This window comes from Homo sapiens, chromosome 1 (genome assembly GCF_000001405.40).
Source record: "Homo sapiens chromosome 1, GRCh38.p14 Primary Assembly".
Classification (NCBI taxonomy): Eukaryota; Metazoa; Chordata; class Mammalia; order Primates; family Hominidae; genus Homo; species Homo sapiens.
Window position 1 is genome coordinate 239,278,112 of NC_000001.11, and position 23,295 is coordinate 239,301,406.

Sequence of the window (23,295 nt, forward strand, 5' to 3'; positions counted from 1 at the left end):
CTACTGAATACTATATTTAAGAATTTCAGGCTAATTTAGGTCTCATTTCTTGCTAAGGTAAAGCTCTTTGTGTATTCATTACCTTTATTCAGATTGTTTCAATGGATGGTGAGGGATAATCTGTTTTTGCTTTGACCACAGCACAATAAAATTAGAAATAAACAACCAAAGAATAGCTCAAAATAAAATTACATATGTCTGTGTGTGTGGGTGTATATATATATGTATGTGTGTGTATATATATATATGTGTGTGTGTGTGTGTGTGTGTGTGTGTGTGTGTGTGTGTATATATATATATATATATATATATATATATTTTTTTTTTTTTTTTTTTTGAGACGGAGTTCCCAGGCTGGAGTGCAATGGCACGATCTCAGCTCACTGCAACCTCCCCCTCCCGGGTTCAAGCTATTCTCCTGCCTCAGCCTCCCAAGTAGCTGGGATTACAGGCATGCACCACCATGCCTGGCTAATTTTGTATTTTTAGTAGAGATGGGGTTTCTCCATGTTGGTCAGGCTGGTCTCGTACTCCTGACCTCAGATGATCTGCCCACCTCAGCCTCCCAAAGTGCTGGGATTACAGGCGTGAGCCATTGGGCCAGGCCATGTCTATAATTTTGTAACAAATTGCTAATTAACAATTTTATTGAAGAGGGTGTCTTAAAAGTCATAGACACAGAAATAATTATCAGTGAAAACACTGTATAATAATATTTGTGAGATAGTTCTAAAGAAATGTTTATATATCACTCTAAACATATTTCCTAGAAAACATGAAATGTTAAAACTATAGAACTGAGCACTCACATCAAGAACCTGGAAAAAAGGAAAAGTAGCAACTACTTTAGTAATAAAGTTAAAGGAAATAATAACTATAAGATCAAGATATATAAATTAGAGAATTAGAAAATGAATCCAATGATAATATATTGACAACTGGAGTCTTTGAAAAGATCAATAAGATATCCAAAGTTTTCACAATATGGAACAAGAAAAAAAATAAATTGCAAACAAACAAAATACATTAAGGAGGAGAAGGACAATTATAGATTCAAGGGAGGTTAGTAGAATCATAGAGGAAAATATTGATCAAATACACACTCAACTGCCTAGACAAAATTGATGTAAATATATTAGACACTGTTTTGTGCAAATGGAAATAGAAACCTCAAAGGAGCACATGGCATTAAATAGTTGAGCAATAAGACTAATGAGAAACATCTTCCATTCTCCCCCGAAGGCCCCTGACCCAAATGACTTCTACCAAAATTTCAAGGAACAGAGAAAGTCAAATCCACTCAATCCATTTTACAAGATGCTTATAAACATAATATCAAAACCATAATAGTTAGACTAAAAGAAAGGAACTATAAGTCCATTTTATTTGTAGCTACACTTTTGCAAATATTAAATATAATATTTCTAAGTTATTTATCACATACAAGAGTTGTTAACTAAAATAGTCATAGGTATTGGATTTTATCTGCACGTATTTAACAAAGCATATGATATTTTCTTCTTTAATCTATTCATGTGGTAAGTTACACTTACAGATTGACTTAATTGCTGGGATGTATATTTATCAGAAAATATTTGTTAAGATCCGCAAGGAGACGTGTACACAAAAGTCTATGACTCTAATTTTTGCATGTGATATTGATAATCTGGAAGCCACACTGTCCATAACTGGAAAAATTGATAAAAGAAAATGGGATGAATGCATACGATGAAAGAGTATGTAGCAGTATGAAGCATCCTGGATAGAAATTCAATACATAGCCTTGAGTGATAAAATAAAATAGAATAAAATGTATAGCATAATTTAATACATGTTAAAATACATACGCATATGAATGATACTTCTTTATTAAAGGAGGCATATATAACCAATATAATAATGCATATATTAAGTACCTTATAGAATACGTCTAATGGGAGGAAGGAAGGAAGTTGTTTCCAGTGAACAATGAGAAATAAAATACACAAGGGAAAAATGAAATGGAAAGCCAGCATCTTTATATGAACTAATGAGATGGTGTACTTTGAATTGAGGAGTCTGCAATTTCAAACCTATGCACTTGGGGAGCACCAAATTTTCCAAATAAAAATAAAATAGGAAGAAATGTCATTTTAGACTATGACTCACTGCCTTTCCTCTATATATGGTAATTATCCCCACACCTTTAAAGATACATTTTTTAGGCACCTTGAATTTCTGTTGGTTCAATGGCAATGTTATATTTTTATGGAAACTGACAGTGAAATTCTAAATGTACATTTGAGTGCACAACTGTGATGGGTCAACTTGGATAAGTGCCAACATAGAGAGTCTATAGTAGCCAGTAATGCAAAGTGTTGCTGTGAGGGGTTTCAGAGATGTGATTAACATGTACAGTCAGTTGACTTAGATAAGGAGATTGTCTTCTATAATGTGAGTGGGCCTGATCCAATCATTTGAAAGGGCTTACAAGCAGAACTGAAGTTTCCCCAACAAAAAGGAAATTCTGCCTCTCAGTGGTTTGCTCCCACCTGAGACTTTCCAGGCTGTTGGCCTACCCTATGAATTTCAGACTCTTCCTGCCATACCCCACAAACGCATAAGTCAATTCTATGAAATAAATTTATGTGTGTATGTGCACATGTGTCTCTATGTATGTTTGCATCTATGCATCTGTGTGTTTGTGTATGTGTGTGTGTGCACCAATCTCTTACTGATTCTGTTTCTCTGGTGGAATCCTGACTTATAAAAACCTCCAAACTTTAATTACCAAAAAGGCAACTATTAAAATTATCAACAAAATGATCACTAATTTCAATATTAATGTCGAATTTGGTATGAAGCTGCACAAATCCCAAAAAAACAAATATAGTCGACATTGAACAATGCAGAGGTTAGGAGCACTGGAGGCCCCACACAGCACACAGTCATAAATCTGTGTATAATTTTTGACTCTTCCGGAGTTTAACTACAAATAGCCTACTGTTAACCAGAATCCTTACCAATAATATAAACAGCTAATTAACACTTATTTTTTGTTATATGTATTATATCTTGTATTTTTACAATAAAGTAAGCTAGAGCAAAGGAAATGAGATTAAGAAATTCATAAGGAAGAGAAAATATATTTACTATTCAATTAGTAGAAGTGAATCATCATAAAGATCTTCACCCTCATTATCATCCTTACACTGAGTAGGCTGAGCAAGAGGAAAAGTAAGGGTTGGTCTTGCTGCCTCAGGGATAGCATAGGCAGGAAAGGTAGAGGAGGTAGAAGGGAGGTAAGAGAGTCAGGCACAGTTCCTATAATTTTACAAAAATATATTGTATTTTCTATCTGATTTTCTGCTTTTACATTTCTCTAAAAATGTTTCTATATGGTACCAATCCTTCTTCCATTGTTTGCTTTAGTTTCAGTGTCTATATCTTAGAAGGATCCATGTCATAAGAAGTCAAAAGCAGTCTTGAATAATCAAAACCCTTCTGCCAGATTATCTAATATCAATTTGTCAATTTTTTTTTTTTGAGACAGAGTCTTGCTCTGTCACTCAGTCTGGAGTGCAGTGGTATGATCCTGGCTCACTGCAACCTCCTCCTCCCAGGTTCAAGTGATTCTCTTGCCTCAGCCTCCAAAGCAGCTGGAACTACAGGCATGTGCCACCACGCCCAACTAATTTTTGTATTTTTAGTAGAGACGGGGTTTTGCCACGTTGGTTAGGCTGGTCTTGAACTCCTGGCTTCAAGCGATCCACCCACCTTGGCTTCCCAAAGTGCTGGGACTACAGGTGTGAGCCACTGTGCCCGGTCCTGGCACTGCTTTTTAAATTTCTTCTTCCTCATTGTCTGATACTGGTTCAGATGCACTCATCTCCGTCAAGTCTACCTCTGTTAATTCCTATGATGTGGTGTCTATTAGCTCTTGAATTTCTCTAAGATCCATATCTTGAAAGCCTTCCATCTACTTTTTTTTTCTGCCATATCCACAATCTCTCTAATAATTTCCTTGATTGATGCTGTTGTAAATCTCGTTACTCAGTTTCTCCAGCAGGAATTCATTGTGTAGGGCTTGATGGCTTTTGCATCTTTTTCTGTAGCAACAGTGGCATCTCCAATGGGGTAATCCTTCCAGACTTTTATGATGTTCTCTCTTTATTGGAGTTCTCTTCCATGACGTTGATAATCCTTCCCAAAGAGTATCATGTGTAATGAGCATTAAAATCTTTATGACCCCCTATCTAGAAGCTGAACTAGAGATATATTTGGGACTAGAAGACCACTTTGATACCTTCAGTGTTGAACTGTTGGGGTTCTGCCTGGCCAGGGGCATTGTCCAATATCAAAAGAACCTCAAAAGGCAATCCCTTACTGGCATGGTACTTCCGGACTTCAGGGAGAAAGCATCAGTGAAACTAACCCAGAAAAAGGATTTTTATTGTCCAGGCCTTCTTGTACAACCAAAAAGTCTGGCAGCTGGTTTATCTTTCCCCTTGAAGTCTCAAGGGGTGAGCAGCTTTACAGATAAGAGTAGTCCTAATCATAAACCCGACTGCATTTGCAGAAAACAGTAGAGTGAGCCTATGACTTTCTGACTTAAATTCTGGTGCTCCCTTTTCTTCTTTACTAATAAATGTCCTTTGCATTTTTTTTTTCCAGAATAAGGAACTTTTATCGTTAAAAACCTGTTCAGGCAGATATCCTTTATCTTCAATGATTTTCTTAATGGCATCTGGGAACTTCTTTGCTGGCTCTTGGTCAGCAGAAGCTGCTTCCCCTGTTATCTTGACTTTTCTTTAAGCCAAACATTTTTCTAAAATTATCACGTTATCCTTTCCTGGCATTAAATTCCCCAGCTTTAGATCCTTCACTTCCTTTTGCTTTAAGTTGTCATATAATGGCTTCAATTTTTCACAAATCTTATTAGTCTATAGGTATCCCTTTTTATAGCAATCCTGCACCCACATAAAAGCTGCATTTGGACACAAGATAAAAATGCATTTCGCAAACAGTGCAAGGTTTTTGCACCTGCTAGCATAGCAGCAGCAATGGCTTCATGAATTTCCTTTTCTCTTTTTTACAAAGGTCCTTACGTGGGATCCATTTATCTTGAAATGGCAGGTAACCACAGCTGCAGACCTCAATCCGTGGTGCCCATCAAGCACTGCAACTTTTTCTTATAATGTCATGACTTTTCTCTGCTTTTGGGAAGCACTTCCAGCATCATTAGTCACACTTTGTATGGCTCCCATGGTGTTATTCAAGGTTACGATATTGCACTAAACACAATGAAAAATACCTGAGAACTATAAGAGACCACTTTTACTGTGATAGTCAATTTGCTGGAAAGATAAACTACTCACGCAGAGATGATTGGCTTCACTAGGCGTTTTAAGCAGACACTCACAACGTTTTAAGCAGATACAACACTTGAGCTCACCACACTAGCAACAAGAGATGGCTACAAATTATTACAGTGGATGCACTACAATGAAGTTTATGCGGTTATGATTTAATACTGCATCTTTATGTTTGTCTACATTTCTCTCTGCTGCAAATGGCGCCATATACAAGTCTGTGTTTGTGTGCATAAGTTTTCATAAAGTTTTACTTTTTATAATAGATTTCTGTATGTTTTGTGGTAGTAAATGACATAACAGATAAGTATCTACATATATTTTATGCATCCATGACATACATAATATATTCTTCATTTTTAAGATATTTCTAGGCTATGCTGTTTGTCTATGAGTTTTTTTCAAATTGTCACAAATCTCCACAAAATTTTGCAATATGGTTATTGAAAAAAACTTGCATATAAATGAACCTTCAAAGCTCAAAGCCATGTTGTTCAAGGGTCACCTATAGGCTCTTTTGATTGATTTCATTTCTACTACGAATCAAATATGTTTTGAATTTCTGACTTTGCTGTAGGAAGGCGATTTTATGTATGAGTCTGTACTCAGAGATTTACCTCATTTTATGAAAATTATCTCTTCATATTCTCAAAAGTTAGGTATTGACACCCATCTTCAGAGATGCAAGTATGTGCAGAGAGTCAGGAAAATTTCAGGTAGGCAATTGTTAAGCTTATGTGGGAACAATAATTTTTTATTAACAGCAAAAATTTTCTTAATTTTTGTCTATTTGTGAACTGCTTGCTTTCACATTCAGTAATCAGCCAGTAACTCCTTCATTTTGGTATGCTCTGTTTTCAGATGTGTTGAAAGCCTTAGTTTTTCTTTTTCATTGTAATTTCAAAATATTTGTTCAACTCTCTCAGCAAAACAATTCTTCCTTTACTACCCCTTGGGGAGACTGGACCAAACTGTCACTAGTTCTTTCTTTGAAATGTCAATTTTGCTGTTTGAATAGTTAAGCCATCATGGAGGAGGTCAGAAAAAGAAAAGCATCCACTAACTTTATTCTTTTGTCATTCTCTTCTGCCCCTCTTTCTGCTCCCGCTTATGGTGTAGTTTCTATGTCTGGGTGCATCTGTGTGGCTGGGAATTGGCTAGACTTTAGAACTGTTGACTGTCCCTGCCTGGTGCCCTGGTGTCACCTGTATCATCTTTGCCCCTGGCCACGGAAGATGGAGCGCCTCTGTTTCTCCCAGTACTTCCAGTTCTTTATGAGCTTACCTTCTCCACTCGTTCCAGTTAAAAGTCAGTCTGATCGACTTTCCTTGGAGGTCACTCTCTGTACCTCTTTCTCCTTCAGCCACTTGAACCTTCTGTTCTTCTCTTTGACAGAGAAGAAAATGTGTTTACTATAAATATTACACATTCGGAAACAAAATATTTTGAATACACATTCGTTTCTGAATGCACACATCTATCATCTCCCCTAAACAGATCTTGAGATGTAGGTAAGGGGAAACTAAAACTTAGATAACAAATACAATAGTAACAGAAATAAAATATTTTCTTCACTGGATCATATAAAGGAAAATACAGACCTTGTTTGTTTTGTAGTCTTGAACAAATTACTTAACTGAGCATCATCAGTAAAATGGAAATGATATCCATCTTGCAGAATAATTTAATGATTATATATGTAAAGTGCCTGCTGCATGTTTAACCAATGGTAGCTTGTTAATACTAAAGTATTACTAACTTTCCTTCCAGAAAGGACTTAAGTACGTCATCACAATTTATTATCTCTTCTCTGTGATCTACAAACCAGAATCACAAGATGGGCTGAGGATCTCACCTCTATCCTCCTTAAAATTACTTCCCTACCCATGCTGCATTAGTCTGTTTTCATGCCACTGATAAAGACATTCCTGAGGCTGAGCAATTTACAAAAGAAAGAGGTTTATTGGATTTACAGTTCCACATGTCTGGGGAGGCTTTATAATCATGGCAGAAGGCAAGGAGTAGCAAATCACATCTTACACAGATGGCAGCAGGAAAAAAAAAAGCTTGTGCAGAAAAACTCCCATTTTTTAAAACCATCAGATCTCATGAGACCCATTCATTATCACAAGAACAGCATGGGAAAGACCCCACCCCCATGATTCAATCATCTCCCACCAGGTCCCTCCCACAACATGTGTGAATTATGGGAGCTACAAGATGAGATTTGAGTGGGGTCACAGAGCCAAACTATGTTGCATGGCTTCATGAAGCCTTAATATTAGGGCATCTTTTTTCCTTGCAAGTTGTTCAAGTCTCTTGACCCTGTAATATCAAAATGAAAACATCATTGCTGTCTTCCCCAGGAGTCTCATTCAATTTGGACTTTCATATAAAATTGTCAATGTGTGAATACAAATTAGGCAACCCCCTGCCCCTTAGAGAAGAGAGAAATGTATTTTTGTCTATTCTTTACAAAGATTTTAAGCTGATTTAGCTGGAGAGGTCAATTTGTGACTGATTGTATTCAACATAGCCAGCAACTTATATATTTGGGATGTATTTAGTTTGAGGATCTGCCTTTGATTTTTTTCATTGAATTGAAAGACACATATGTAGTTGAGCTTCTGCTGACTTTTTTTTTTCTTAACCCAACTAAGTGCTACCTAGATGGCAAAGAGATCCAGCAACAGAATTCAGAAGAAGAAATGAAGTAAAAACACAGAGCTAGACCCAGAACCCATACTACGGACTTGACCTTCAGGCACCTGCTGCTACACAGAATGCATCACAATTAATTGGAGGAATAGCAAGACAACCAATGAGCAGAGGGCTGGACCTCACTCATTCATAGAGGCCTTGGCCTTTTCAAAACCTGTCCCTCCTCCACAGCCTCTGAGATTGGTGGGATGGGAACCCAAGAAAGGAGAGGACTTGTTCAGAGCATGCCAAGCCCCTCCATTTTAAGCACTTCTCACTAATTTCAAACATAGAAAATGAGAAGAGTTACAGAATCAGTACTAGATGGCAACAAGGTGGTTGGGACCCAGCCAAGAAGGGAGATTTGACACAGAAGACTTGAAAGCAGTGATTGAAATAACAGTAAAATGTTGCATGTCTGTATCCCCAAAGTAGTTTAGATGCCACCATAAGCCAATTGACTGTATGATCACTTCTATTTATTCTCATAAATACTACGTACCAATATGGATAGTACTTTCATGCAGGATCCAAAAATATTTAAAAACTACAATTATATTTACATAAAATAGGCATAAGTTAGGTTAGACTGAAATAGATCAATATTTTTAGACCAGTTACATTTAGATGGTAAAATATTTATGTGATTTTTTGTCTTTTTCTCCATTGATCACTTATTCAATAAAGTGTTTGTGTAGTTTGTAAATTAAAATATAATTTTATAAACCATAAGGATGACTTAAAATTATTTATTCCTATCTCTCACCTAAGTTTTCATCTAATTGACATAAAATCTCTATCCTTCCCTTCTCACTCAAATTCCTTACCTTTGTTCTCTCTGCTTTTCCACTTGGCATCTCCCATTCAGCCTTCAACCCTAGCTTTTACCCTTGAAATTGTACACAGTCTATTCTTATGAAGATAAAAGTCTTACCCTCCTCAAACTGATCTCATGCACAACCATAAGAATGATCATCTTAAAACTAATATCTTATTACATCCACTCTTCCTTTCAAAAATCTGTCAATGGCTTAGCTTCCCATTGCCCATGTTACGAAGAACTCATTTTTGCATTTAAATTAAAGCCTTTCTTTCTCCCCTGCTCTGCTCTTAATCATTCTTTCACTCCCATTTACTTTTATCTCTTTTCTGCCTGTCTCTCTAGCCTCACCTCTCAACTCATCTTTTCTTCAAAATTTACACCCCAATGACACTAGTATGATTACAGCTCCCTACAAACATAATCTGATTGTTTCTTCTTCATTTCTTTTAGGCTTGCAAAATATTTCCCCTCTTTCTGGGAAGGGCCTCACCCTTCTCTCGCCTCCAAGATTCCTGCATTCTTGTTGAGTATTGAGCTCATCCGGGAGGCCTGTCCTGAGACTCAGAGGATTGTTGAAGTGTTCTTTCTTTGTGCTCCCATTTCCTCATTAAAACTGTTATGGAATTGTCATTTTTTTGTTTGTTTACCTACGTCCACCACTAAACAATGATAAGTTTGGGAGCAGAGATAACGTCTTGTTCCCTTTTGTATCTCCGGTGTTTAGACTATTGCCTGGCACGTAATATGATTTTAGTTTTTAAAATGAAAGAATTAAATCATTAAACTACATTTATAGTATGCATTTATTCCAACTACTATAAATTTGGTTGAGCACTATCATATAGCTCATAGATTGAATGCTTATCCACAAACGATGTCATGATAAATTTTATTAGATGCTTTGTTATGCAAAAAGGAAAACACACATTGATTATACCATTCTCTTAGGGGCCACATTAGAAATGATGTTGAGAGAGGAAATGACATGTGTCTGTTATGCTCCCATATATGGCCTGAGTTGGACACACTCACATGAGACACGATGCGTTGACCTGAACCAAGTACAGAAGACGGATCATCTTTTGCCACCTCTCTCCCCTTTTCAGACAGTCCATTTCTGACATGGTTAGTTCTACTGTCCCAGTTTACAGATTCCTCTCCCATTCTCTTGGAAATGACTTAATCACAAAAGAAACTTAATAATGGCAACTTCTCAAGCCATGAAAAATGGCCCTCAGAATAGTTCACCTTTTTTTTTTATTATACTTTAAGTTTTAGGGTACATGTGCACAACGTGCAGGTTTGTTACATATGTATACATGTGCCATGATGGTGTGCTGCACCCATTAACTCGTCATTTAGCATTAGGTATATCTCCTAATGCTATAAAAAAAAAAAAGAATTGTTCACCTTAGTCATTAAATAAGGGCATACTTATCCACCAACTCTCCTTTCTCTTTGGTCAAGGGTTTTTTTTTTTTTACTTCCTGGTTTGTCTCACCTCAGAATGCCTGAGTAGGTCCCTATAGGCACCTATGTGGGAGCAGCAGAGAATTCCCAGGGCAAAAAGTAGGAAATACGTGATACAGCTGAGGCATAGTATGTGAGGTTGCATTTGCATAGTGGCGGTCAGACCAAACATAGAATAACAAGGTGGACGAGCAAAGATGACCCAGGTACAAAAAGTGTCTAATGTAAGCAGTAATAATAGCAGCATTTCTGCTTTTCAGTGGGTAAATGAATGAGATGCTCAGCCTCCCCAGGGCAAGAGAGGGAAAAGGGGAGCATTGTAGATGAAATAATCATTGAGTTGTACAAAATACCAGCTTCAGCCTCAATGAATTACTATAGTACAGAATGAAATGCTTTGGCAAAGTCAATGAATAAAAAGGAGAGATTATTCTATTTCCCTTCCTTGGCATCTTACTTACAGGAATAATTTCATTCTGACTCTGTGTAATGAGGTTTATGACCCTGGGCAAGTGAGTGACTTGGCTGGGCTCCAATTTCTTCATTTATAAAATGAGATGATCACTGAGTTCCATTAGAGCTCTAACATTAAGATTTTATGAATCTATGTGCACACAATATACTAGAGTTTAAACTCTGAATTTCCAGAACTATGCAAGTCTGTATTATTGCACATGACTGTTCTAATGGATTCTCTACATTTTCCCAGTGCTTGGAGATCCCACTGCATTTTGGTTTTTCTTCTTCTGTGTGCTGATTATAATGATATATTAATTGCTCTGGAATTTCCTATTTATAGAAAGAAAAGCCTCTGAAGAATGCATTCAGGAAAAGTGGTTTATATGGATTATATGAAAATCTTAGCATGTATGCCTTTGGAAATACTCACCTATAACTGCCCATTTAATGACTAATTTCCAGAGCTTTCTCATCAGAATTACAAATAACACTGAATGCTTTCCCGTGGCCTCCAGGTTGCATATGGTCTGAGAGACTAACTCTGCTTCCTCTCCTCCTTCCACTCTCCCTCCCTTCCCTAATTCTAGCCACACTGGCTCATTTTCTGCACCTTGATCACATTTAGGCTTTCTGCCTTAGTCTTAAAATCATGTTCTTCCTGCTTGGACTCTTCTGTTTGTCTGTATCATCCCTTCTTCTCCTGATTCATCTCTCAGAGCAAACATCGCATCCCTGGAGATGCCTGCCTGAGACATCCAGTCTAAATTTGCTCCAGCCACACTCTATTGCTTCATTTTATGTTCCTTTTCAGAATTATTATTGTATTTTTTAAGTTTATGTGTAGTAATATATTTATTTCTCTGATCCTCATAAATGGTAAATTTCATTCTACCTTGAATCCTGAGTTCCCAGGAGAATATCTACAACATAATAAATGTAGGATTTATTTGTTGGCGAAATTAAATAACCACTGAGTGGTACATGGGTCAACATTCAAACGAAAAAGAACAAATACAGAGCTTGAAACTAGAATTCTTGTTTCAATTCTGTCTCTCATGTGATAGTATATAACCTGGGAATAATAAGTACTGTTTACTTCACAGGTTGTTGCTTATGTTTAGACTTTATATATAGTTACCTGAAATCTCTACCTTCGAGAATATTCGAGAAGAATCCATTCATTCTGTCATGTTTTATGTTACAGTGTGAATCTTCATCACTATTAGCTGTGAAAACTTGTGCAAGTTACTTAGCTCCCCTCAATTTCCTTACCTACGAAACTATGGTAATGACAGTACCTACCTCAGCTGTTAGATTCAGAGTACTTCGGAAATACCTGACACATTGTAACCACTTTATAAGTGTGTTACTTGTTTTCATTGTGTGTCAGCTTCTTTTCCTATTAATAACTCTGATTTAAGCTTAATCATCCTCTGAGGCAGCACTCAAATGCCAGGTCTTCTGTAAAGCCTTTACTTATATCCCTGTTTGCCTATTCCTTCCCTACTACATTACACAGAACATTAGTGATTTCTTACATTTCATTCCCTAGTCAACACTTTAAAACTTGCTTGCTTATTTATTTTCTTTCATAATATAAACTAAAGGATCATCATGAATTTCTCTAGTACATTCATTCAATTCTAGTACATTTCTAGGCCATTATTTTGTGGATAAATGTATATTTCCGCAAATAGATGGAATTCTCACTGTCTCAATTTATTTAAAATATTCATTTAAAACATTTGAATAAAACAATTTTCTTTTGTAAGCATCATTGGTCATGAATAGAAGGAAAATCAATTTTTAAAAATAGATTTGAGAAAATATTTTTAAGTCAATTGCCTTTTGATTTCAAAATACTTCAAAAGGTTCATTCTTCTTGGACTATAATTTATTTACTAAAATTCAAAATGAGATATCTGAGAAAAAAGTTATTGCATTAAATAAGAAAAAGCCTGTATTTTCAGTCCCAAATGGATGTATATCTGCTATTTTATCAGAAGATTTGCAATTTTAAAATAAATTCAAAAGCTTCCACCATATTTCTTGGTAAAACTAAAATAGTTATATCCAACAATGAAGTGCAGAGGCAAATACTATACACAAATCATAATTTTCATGTATTTTTTCAGTTATAGTCCACAGTGCTAATTATTTTATTTTTATACTTGTGCTTTCTTTCTTTCTTTTCTTATTTATTTGTTTATTTTTTTGTTTTTTTAGACAGCTTCACTCTGTCACCTGGGCTTCAGTGCAGTGGTGTGAGCTTGGCTCACTGAAATTTCAAACTCCAAGGCTCAAGCAATCCTCCTGCCTCAGCCTCCAGAGTAGCTGGGACCACAGACATGTGACACCACAACTGGCTAATTTTTATATTTTTTTGTAGAGATGGGGTGTTTCCATGTTACCCAGGCTTGTCTCGAACTCTTATGCTCAAGCACTTCACCCACCTCAGCCTCCCAAAGTGCTGGGATTACAGACGTGAGCCACTGGGCTCAGCAAATTTTTCCTAAATGTATTTAGAAGTTGAACAAGCATAATTATTTTATTTATTTCTAGTCAGTCATCTTTTCTATTTCCTGTAATAACTGATCAAAAATCCTCTATCCATCACCCCAAGACCCCAGGTATACACATGCAGGATCTTCATCTGCAGATAAAATCTGATATGAGCTTTTTGATTTCTTTCTGCCTCCAGTCATAAAACTCTTGGTACTCATTTACATTTACTTCCTTTCATTCTGTGTAAAATGAAAGCATCCAGTTTCAAGCTCAATCCCTTCCTGTGCTTGACTGATTGGAGTAAAAAGACTATTAGATATACTTCATTTAGATACACAGTACCTGAACATAAATCCCTGAACCTAATTTCGCTCACTTAGTAATCACAGGCCAATGGGTTATTGAATTAGCAATGTACACAGGAAAGTCCTAAATAAATTGATTGTTTTCTTCTGCTTTCTTTTCCCTCTTAAATTCAAAACTCTCTAAGACCTCAATTGTCTTTTTCTCTTAGTATCTGTTCAATGATGGATGATTCCTTTTTCTTCTGTTCCTCTCTAATATATTCAATCTCTCATTTTTAAATTTTCATCTTGTCTGTATTCAAATTATGCCCCTACCAAAAACACACACATAAAGAAGGAAACTATACCAAATTGCTTAAGATCAGTGATGAAGAGAAAACCTTAAAGCAAACAGAAAAAAACTGAATTATATGCAAAGGAACAAAAACACACATGAGAGTAGTTTCTTGTAGAAATAAGACCAACCAGAAGATGGTGAAGCAAAACCTTAAAAGGAATGAAAGAAAAAATTTCAACCGACATAATAATGTACATTTGACCAAATTAAATTCAAAACCAAAGGCAAAGACAAAAACTTTCTAAGAACAAGAAAATGGAAATAATTCAGCAGTAGCAGACCTGCACTGTAAGATATATTTAAAAAAAAAGAAAAGTCCTTCAGGAAGAAGAAAAGTGACAGCCCCTGGAAATCCAAATTTACAACAAGAAAAGAAGAGCACTAGAAATTGTCACTATGTGAATAAATAGAATTTTTTCTCACTAATTAAATCTCTTTAAATAATAATTGATTGTTTAAGGCAAAAATTGTAACAATGAATTGTGAGTTTTGTAACATTCATCAGAAGTAAAATGTATAAGCAAAAAAAATCACAAAGAAGAAAGAGATAAGCAGGAGTATATTCTTGTAAAGTTCACAGGGAAGTGGTATCATATCACTTTATGGTAGACTGGAGTAAGTTAAAGATGTATGCTGTAAACCCTAAAGAAAAAGAAATCACTAATATAATACAATAAAGAGTTATGGTTCAAAAGCCAATGGAGCACGTATAATAGAACCATAAAAATACTCAGTGAGTTCAAAAGATGTCAGCAAAGAGGGAAAATTGAACAATGAACACTGGAGAAAAATAGGAAACAAATAGTAGAATGACATACTTAAGTTCAAGTATATCAAAATTCACATGACATATAAATGCTCTACTGACTCCAATGAAAATACAGAGATTTTCAGATTGGAGAAGAAAGCAGGACCCAACTATTAACTGCCAACAAGAATCCAAAATCCATTTTAAATATAAAGACACAGAAAGTTAAAAATAAAAGATGGAAAAAGATGCAGTATGTTAACACTAATCCAAAATAATCTAGAGTGGCTGTAGCAATATCACACAACATATATTACCCAGCAAAGAGTATGAACAGAGATAAAGAAGGTCATTTCAAAACGATAAAGGGGTCAACGCATCAAGACAACATAAAGTCCCGTGTTTATGAACCTAATAACAGAGCTTCAACATTCATGAAGCAAAAACTGATAGACCTGAAAGAGGAAATAGAAGAATCCACAATTATAGTTGGAAACTTCAACAACCCTTTCTCTATAATTGATAGGACAAATAGACAGAAAATCATTAAGAACATAGAAATATTGGCCAATATTATCAACCTACTTGACCACCCCGCAGTTATGCAGACTACCCACCTTTTCAAGTATATTGGAACATTTAAGACAGTGTTTCATGAAAGAACTGCCAACAAATCTAAAAGAAAGAAACATTTTCCAGACTAACTTTCTCTAAGAAAAAAAATAATTTATTCCTGGCCACTTATTGCACAATATTTTCAAACGTTTGCCTTAGATCATAACAGTTTTTCATGTCAACACTTACAAGTTCGTATCAAAATTTCTCTGCTCTTTTCACCATTGCCCTCTGTCCAAATTGCTGTCCACCTCCTTTGTGCTACCTTGGAACTTTGCCCATAACCGTGTCATAAAACTTTGCCTGTTGGAATCAGCTAGACTGTGAATTACCCTCAAGCCTCATTTCTTTTTTATGGTAAAACCTATGCTGACTTCTCAGTCTTCATCTTACTCTAACTCTCAGCAGCATTTGACAAGATTGATTCTCCTTGTTTTTTGAAACGCTTTCTGTCCAGCTAGCTGTCATGACATCATCACATGCTCTCAACTTTTCTACAACTGCTCTGGTCTCTGCTTATCCGCCTCTCTCTGGTCCAGGTGAACCTCCCCTGCTGGATTCATGCTGCTGGGTATGAGAGTCCTGCATGAGGTATGAGAGTCCTTTAAGTATGTTCTATTTTATTCACTCTCATCTTTCTTTAATATCTCTTCCAGTTCCGTGGCTTTACAAACCATTTGCATGCTGACAGACCCCAAATTTCTTTTTTTTTCCTTTCAAGAGTGAGACTCCCTTCACTAGAAAGAAAAATAAAAATTTTTAAAAACACCAAATGTTTATCTTCAGCACACACATCTCCCTGAACCCCAGCCTCTGACATCTATCTGCCTACTTGCCATTTCCACTGGCATGTCCCAGTCCTAGCCTGTCCCAACATGAGCCCTGAGTCTTCTCTTCTCTCAAACCTTCTCCTAGCACAGGCTTTCACATTTCATTAAAGGTAATTCCATTCCTGCAGTTGTTCAGGCTAAAATCCCTGGAGTCATTTCCAGCTCTGTTCATTTGTCTCCTGTAATATAGCCAGTCCCTTAGCAAGTTCTCTGACCCCTGTCTTCAGAATCTATGCAGAGCTCACACCTACTCCACTGTCACCACCCTGGCCCAAACCACCGTTCTCTCTTACCCGGATTGTCATAGAGGCTTCTCAACCTGTCTTCTAACTGATGCCCTCACTCTCTTCAGCCTGTGCTCAACATGGCAGGTCATGTGAGCCTGTGATTCAAAATCTGCTCATGGCTTCACATTACACTCGGATAAAAGGTAAGCCTATTGCAAAAGTCTAGGGTCTTTCAGGGTTTCACACCCCACCTCCAGCTCATTACCTTTACTCTTCCTCTGTGTATCGCTCTGATACACTAGAGCTTCCTCACTGCTGTTCAAATATCCCAGGCAAAATCCTTTATACTTGCTATTCCTTCTGCCTAGATACAAGGGTGTCCAATCTTTTGGCTTCCCTGGGCTACAGTGGAAGAAAAAGAATGTCTTGGGCCACACACAGAATACACTAATGATAGCTGATGAGCTAAAAAGAAAAAAAAATCACAAAAAAAATCTCGTAATGTTTTAAGAAAGTTTATGGATTTGAGTTGGGCCATATTCAAAGCTGTCCTGGGAAACATACAGCCCATGGACCTTGGGTTGGACAAGCTTGGCCTAGAACATTCTACTCCCAATTATCCGCATGGTTCATTATCTCACTGCTGCCAAATGTTGACTCAAATGTTATCTTCCTAGAACAGCCCTCCCTGATGGTCTCTAGGGAGATGAAACTCCCCTGACCACCTTTACCTCCTTCCTACTTTATGTCTTTCTGTAAAACATATCACCATGTGGCCCATTATATATTTTAGTTATTTAATTAATGTATTGGTTCTCTCTCCTCCCTAGAACATAAGCTCCAGAGGGCGGGGGTTTTTGTCTGTTTTACTTACCACACTTTTCCTAGCACTTAAAACAGTGCTTGATACATAGAAGGCACTCAAGAAGTATTTGTAGAAATTGGAAAGGTATAAAACAAGTGAATGAATTAGTGCATAAATTATTTCTCTGGACTTAACCTCATTTCTACAATAAATGAAAATCAGAGTAAGCATTTATTGACATGGAAAGGAAAGCCTGGGCAAAGAAGACAAAGTTAAAATGAGAAAAAGGACAATAAAGATGAATGAAAGACAAAAGTAATGTACAATTATTCTCTTTTCTAGTCTTCATGTCTGATTTAGGAAAAGAAGAATTGTTTTGGACAGCTTATGCTATTCTTTATTTCAGCATAAGCACTGAATTTTTATTTTCATTTTTCAAGCTCCCTGTGCCCTACTTTCTTTACGTTTTTAAATAACAATGATCCACCCCCTCAGATGGGTTCTGTCAGCTATCTTGACCTTTGTCTCAATCTTATTTTTCTGTTTGACCTACCCACTATGCTGAGAAGACATTTATATTTAAGTCTCTGTTAAACAAGTCCAAAAGAATACACCAGTTTCTTTCAGAAGAGACTGTATTTTGTCCTCAAGGAATAAAATTGTTTAAATGTTACTGGAGACATAATTGCTGTTATGCTTCCATTTTTAAAATTTTTACATTTATATGTAACCCTACTTTAGTCAAGTTATGTCACGAACATTTCCAAATATTTCCCCTCACTTCACAAAAGTCATTTTCTCAGGATTTTAATAGAATAAAACTGAAGGTGTGTCCATCTGTACCTATTCATTGTAGTTTGTACAGACTCTCATATTATTAAGACAAAAGCCACTCTATTTTTTAGAGGTTTATTATATACAAACTTGTTGCTTTTTCTGTAACTAGAGGGACACTGTAATTGCCATATATAGCTGTTTCTCATTGTTACAATTTGAAGACACTGTTTAAGCATTAACACAAATTGCTAGTCAATCAATCAGCAATCATATCTTGAGCAGAGAACATGCCCTCACAGATCTAATGATTCAGCAGTGTGATCAGCTATACAACCAGGATATAAGATTTAAATTCATAGAACATTGGTGTTAGACACAAGAATGCTACTGTAACTCATATACAAGTGAGCATGAAATGGATCTTCCCTTTTGATCTCCTTTGAGACAGCATGTAGCAACCTTCTGCCCAGAGTCTGGAGTCAGGTATAAAACTAATCAAAGCAGGAAACAAACAAAAGGAAAAAATTAATTGAGTGTGTTTTCTGCTAACACAGCAATTGAAAGACAACTCATGCTCATTGAAAGCCAGAGTAGAGTGTGTAAACCATTCTTTATTTCCATTATGTACAAAGTTATACAGGCAATGCAACCTATCATATAAATTTGTACAAGTTTTAGCAAAGCCAAAAACAGCTTTGAAGAGGCCAGGTTTAAGTTCCCTAAAGGGGAAGGATGGAGACATTAGTGTGATGAGTGATGAGAAATGACCATCCTGCTGTTGAAGAAAGGAATTCACCTGAGGGACGGACCTCCTGACAGTCACTAGTTGTGGTCTCTGAGAAGTTTTGCTTCCTGATAGTCCTGAATTGTGGTCTCTAGGGCTTGGAAACCTCCAGAATCACATGATTCTGCAGGGTTTGGAACTCTGCCTATTTGTTTCTGGTTTGGATTTCATCTAACAATTTGAGGGGAGCAACTGGATGACCTGGATATGGCCACCCCAGAAATAAGCACCTGGTGTTACTACTAAAGTAGGTTCCCATCTTTCTAGTCATTGTGAACCTTGCACTGCAGGATATGCTCTGTTTCCTCTCAGACATTCCCTGCCAGTCTCCTGTCTACTCTGCATCTCAGGAAACATTTTCCATGCTCCCTTATCCTCTGACTTTGGGATGGGTTCAGTCCATTGGAAGCAGAGCTTGAGGAGGGGAGAAGCCTAATAATGGAGTGTCACTCCCACCCCTGCCCCTCTCCTTCCTGGCATCTCCTCAGTCATGTCAGTTCTCACCGGATAGGACCTTTCTTTATGTCACAACTGCCAACAGAAAGTCACCTGGATGTTTTCCGCTCTTGCCATCTTCCCAGTTCCTGTTAACATTATCTCTACTTGTCCCTGCAGTCATCGGGTAACAGTGGCTTCAGATTGTGGCTAAATTTGGGGTCCTTTTATTGTCTGTCTTTGGCTTGTCAGGTCTTCCATCACCTATGTATTAAGTTATTTTATTTGGAAGGAGCTAATGTCATTTCTGTTTTGCTGCTAGATATTGATTGATTCACAGGTTGTCAATAGAGTTGCCTCCTCAACCCCCTTCTTAGTGGGTTTTGCTAAACTATAGAACAGTGTAATATTAAATAGACCACTAACTGTTTTCTCAATCCAGCAAATAATAGCCCTGATGAGCCATAGTCTATGGCTTTCATAGCGTTTTTCTCTCTGTAATTTTGTCTTTTAAAATATTTTCTTAGGTATTCTTGGCTGGGCGCAGTGGCTCAAGTCTGTAATCCCGGCACTTTGGGAGACCGAGGCAGGCAGATCCCTTGAGATCAAGAGTTCATGACCAGCCTGGCCAACATGGTGAAACCCTGTCTCTACTAAAATTTTTTTTAAAAAGAAAAATTAGCCAGGCGTGGTGGCCTGTGCCTGTAGTCCTAGCTACTTGGGAGCCTGAGACAGAAGAACTGCTTGAATCCGGGAGAGAGAGGTTGCAGCGAGCTGAGATGGCCTGGATGACAGAGCGAGACTCTGTCTCAAAATAAATAAATAAATAAATAAATAAATAAATAAATAAATAAATAAATAAAATAAAATATGTTCTTAGGGATTATTTAAGATGGTTGGTTGAGACAGGATTTGAAAGGAAACGTTAGCCTGAAGTGACGTTTACCTCGGACTTTTAGTCTAATTAGTCAGGCTATTGTCCTTAATGGTCATTTTAAATTATAATTAATATTATTAGGACTTCTACTCTAAAACAACCTTTCTTACACTTAGCACAATTTCTTTTTTTTTCTGTTTCATAAAAAAAAAAATAGCAACCACTCTAAGAGAATTGCCTCCCTTTCCTACTCCCCTCCCCACTCCAGTCCCCCTGCTGCCCCGCCAACACACACACAAACACACACACACACACACACACACACACACACACAGACAGTGTTCTGTCCCTGAAGCCTCGGATTCCGTGACATCGCTCTCCTTGTCTAAGAGGATCGCTTTCTTACCTGTGTTCCAGACCTGATGGGCTCCCAATTTCTGTCTGCTCAACCTCTCTCTCTCTTCCTAGGGTTCTTTACCTTTTATTTTAGATCATTCCCCTCAGAAAAGTTAGAATCTTATACTTTAAAAAAAAAAAAGAGTTTACCTTCTGCTATGCGTTCCCTCTCACTCTCTTTCCTTTTATACCCAAACTTTATGGAAGATTATTTAAAGTCATACCTTCTAATTTGTCACCTCTTGCTCCATTATCATCAATTTATGTTTCCTCTTTCCACTAGTCTCTACTAACTTCTTTAACTTCTTAAAACTCATTGGTAAATCTTATTTAGTCTGTGCAGCATTTACTACCTTAGACCACTCCACTATGCTTTCTTGATTATTAACTTGTTATATGACAGCCTCCTCTCCTGAGTCTCAATTACATTCTCATTTATTTTCTTTGTCTCTTCTTTGCCCTGTGTGTATTGCAACTCCTGGTTTCTTCCTTTGTCATTCTCAAAGATCCATTCATCTACTTTTCTGGGCAAAATGGTGCGTTCCAAGTGGCAATTTTTAGAGTTACACTACTTGGTTCAGCCAGCATTTTCCTAGTGGATATAAAGAGGAAAATATATACATACGTACATACATATACATACATACATATATATACACACACACATACATACATATATATGTATGTATGTATGTACACTATTTGGTTAAGCCAGCATTTCCCTAGTGGATATAAAGAGGAAAATACATACATACATACACAGACATACATACGTACATATGTACGTATGTGTGTGTGTGTGTATATATATGTATGTATGTATGTACATATATATTTTCCTCTTTATAGCCACTAGGGAAATGCTGGCTTAATCAAATAGTGTAACTAAAAATATATATGTATTTATGTGTATATGTATATACACGTATGTATGTATGTATGTATATATTTGAGAATATCTCCACTTGTAGAAATGCTATAAAGAATGTGTTCTCTAGTCAGATTAGTTCAGATAGCAATTGACTAGAGAAAAGGTAACAGCAAGAGCATACTACTTGCCATGCACTGTTTCTAAAAATGTTTTCATATCACTTTTTAAAATGAGCATGTATTAACATCTTTTGTCACTATTGTTGGGCAGAAGCCAGGTTGGAAAATTGAAGGTGATAATACTGTCTCAGGAGGACTCCTGTATACATTTGCACTAAGATACATTAATTTATTTGAACTCTTTAGTAACCTCTTTAGTGCAGGCAGAAATAACACACTATCTGTTGTGTTGGAATATAAGATGGGCAAGTTTTGGTAAAAAGGAAATGACAGGACTCAGATAATGTAGTACCATGAAAAAACACCAACCTGGGATAACGTAGGTATTCTGAGAATTTTTGGACAATTTCAGGACAATTTCAGTGAGATAATAGACATATTAGATAAATGAAAGACTGAATGAGACAATTGTTCTGGGCCACTGATAAGAAAAAAGTGAGAAAAATTGTTAAAAAACAGTTTTATACGATAATGAAAGTAAACTCTTCAAAATATGCACAATTTCTTTTCACCAATTTCATCAGAATACCAAGATAAAAATCTCTGAAAATATAAAAAAAACCCTTTTACTTAAAACGATTGTATTTACTTTTCATAAACGATAAGGCTATAACTAATCCAATACGCAAAGAAAACAACCTAGTATCTGAAGATAACTGAATTTGTGCTATTATATCTACAGAACATTTATTTTTCTTGAAGTTTTTATTTGCAATAGGAAAATGAGGAAACAAAATTGAATTTCAGTAAACACACAAAGAAAAATTTTGGTTATAAACATTTTGCGTATCGTCCAGCTGCAGTGAATACATACTTTTTAAAGTCATGGAAAATTTTGTTTCTTTTTTTTTTTTTTTTTTTAATTTCAGACAGGGTCTCACTCTGTGGCCCAGGTTGGATTGCAATTGCATAAACACAGCTTACTGCAACCTTGACCTACCAGGCTCAAACAATCCTCCCATCTCAGCCTTCAAAGCAGATTGAACTACAGATAAGCGCCACCACTTAGGGCTAATTTTTTAATTTTTTGGAGAGATGAAGCCTCACTGTCTTGCCCAGGCTGGTCTCAAACTCCTGAGCTCAAGTAATCCTCCTGCCTCAGCCTTCCAAAGTGCTGGGATTACAGGTGTGAACCACTGTGCCCAGCTGGAAAATTGTTTTTGAGCAGTGTTTGTGGTGTTTTAGAAAAAAAAAATCCAAGCTGTGGTACATTTTTTTTTAATGAAGTTTTATAAAGCTGGGACAAATATATCAAAACTTCAAATAAATTTAATACATTGACACATAAATATAACACACGAATTTGGAGTTAAATAGCATCTTTTAGTTTCATTACTCCAGAAAGACACAGTATTGGGATACATCTGAAAATAAAAAATGACCCATTTCAAATGATGTTATTACAAAAATAAATCATATTATATACACTTTTTTATCATTAAAAATCATATCACAGATAATTGAAGGCAATAGCATGTTAAGTGAAATTAGTTTCTTTATCATAGCATATACATATGATTTTTTTCACATATATGGCTGACTATGAGGTTCAAAAAATACCTACTTAGCTACATAAACATTTTACGTTTTAAGCGCACATATTAAAAGTTCACATTACACTGTAACATCTAAAGAAACAACATTCACTCAGCCAGCAAGACTCAAAGAACAAAGCACTAAAATGTGTTTTCATTTAAAAATCCTGTATCAAAAAGGACTTACTAGCTTCTCAAGATTTGTCTGTACTGTAATCAGATTGCAAATTACTTCTCTTAGATCGCTCTGGGAGCATCGCTCTATG

General features: G+C 36.4%; 1 annotated feature.

Annotated features, from left to right (window-relative positions):
• Nucleotides 9,238-9,532: a silencer, noted in NCBI's record as "tiled region #1169; HepG2 Repressive non-DNase unmatched - State 24:Quies". NCBI's record gives its function as "represses a minimal TATA promoter and a strong SV40 promoter by Sharpr-MPRA in HepG2 cells {active_cell/tissue: HepG2}" and the evidence as "EXISTENCE:reporter gene assay evidence [ECO:0000049][PMID:27701403]".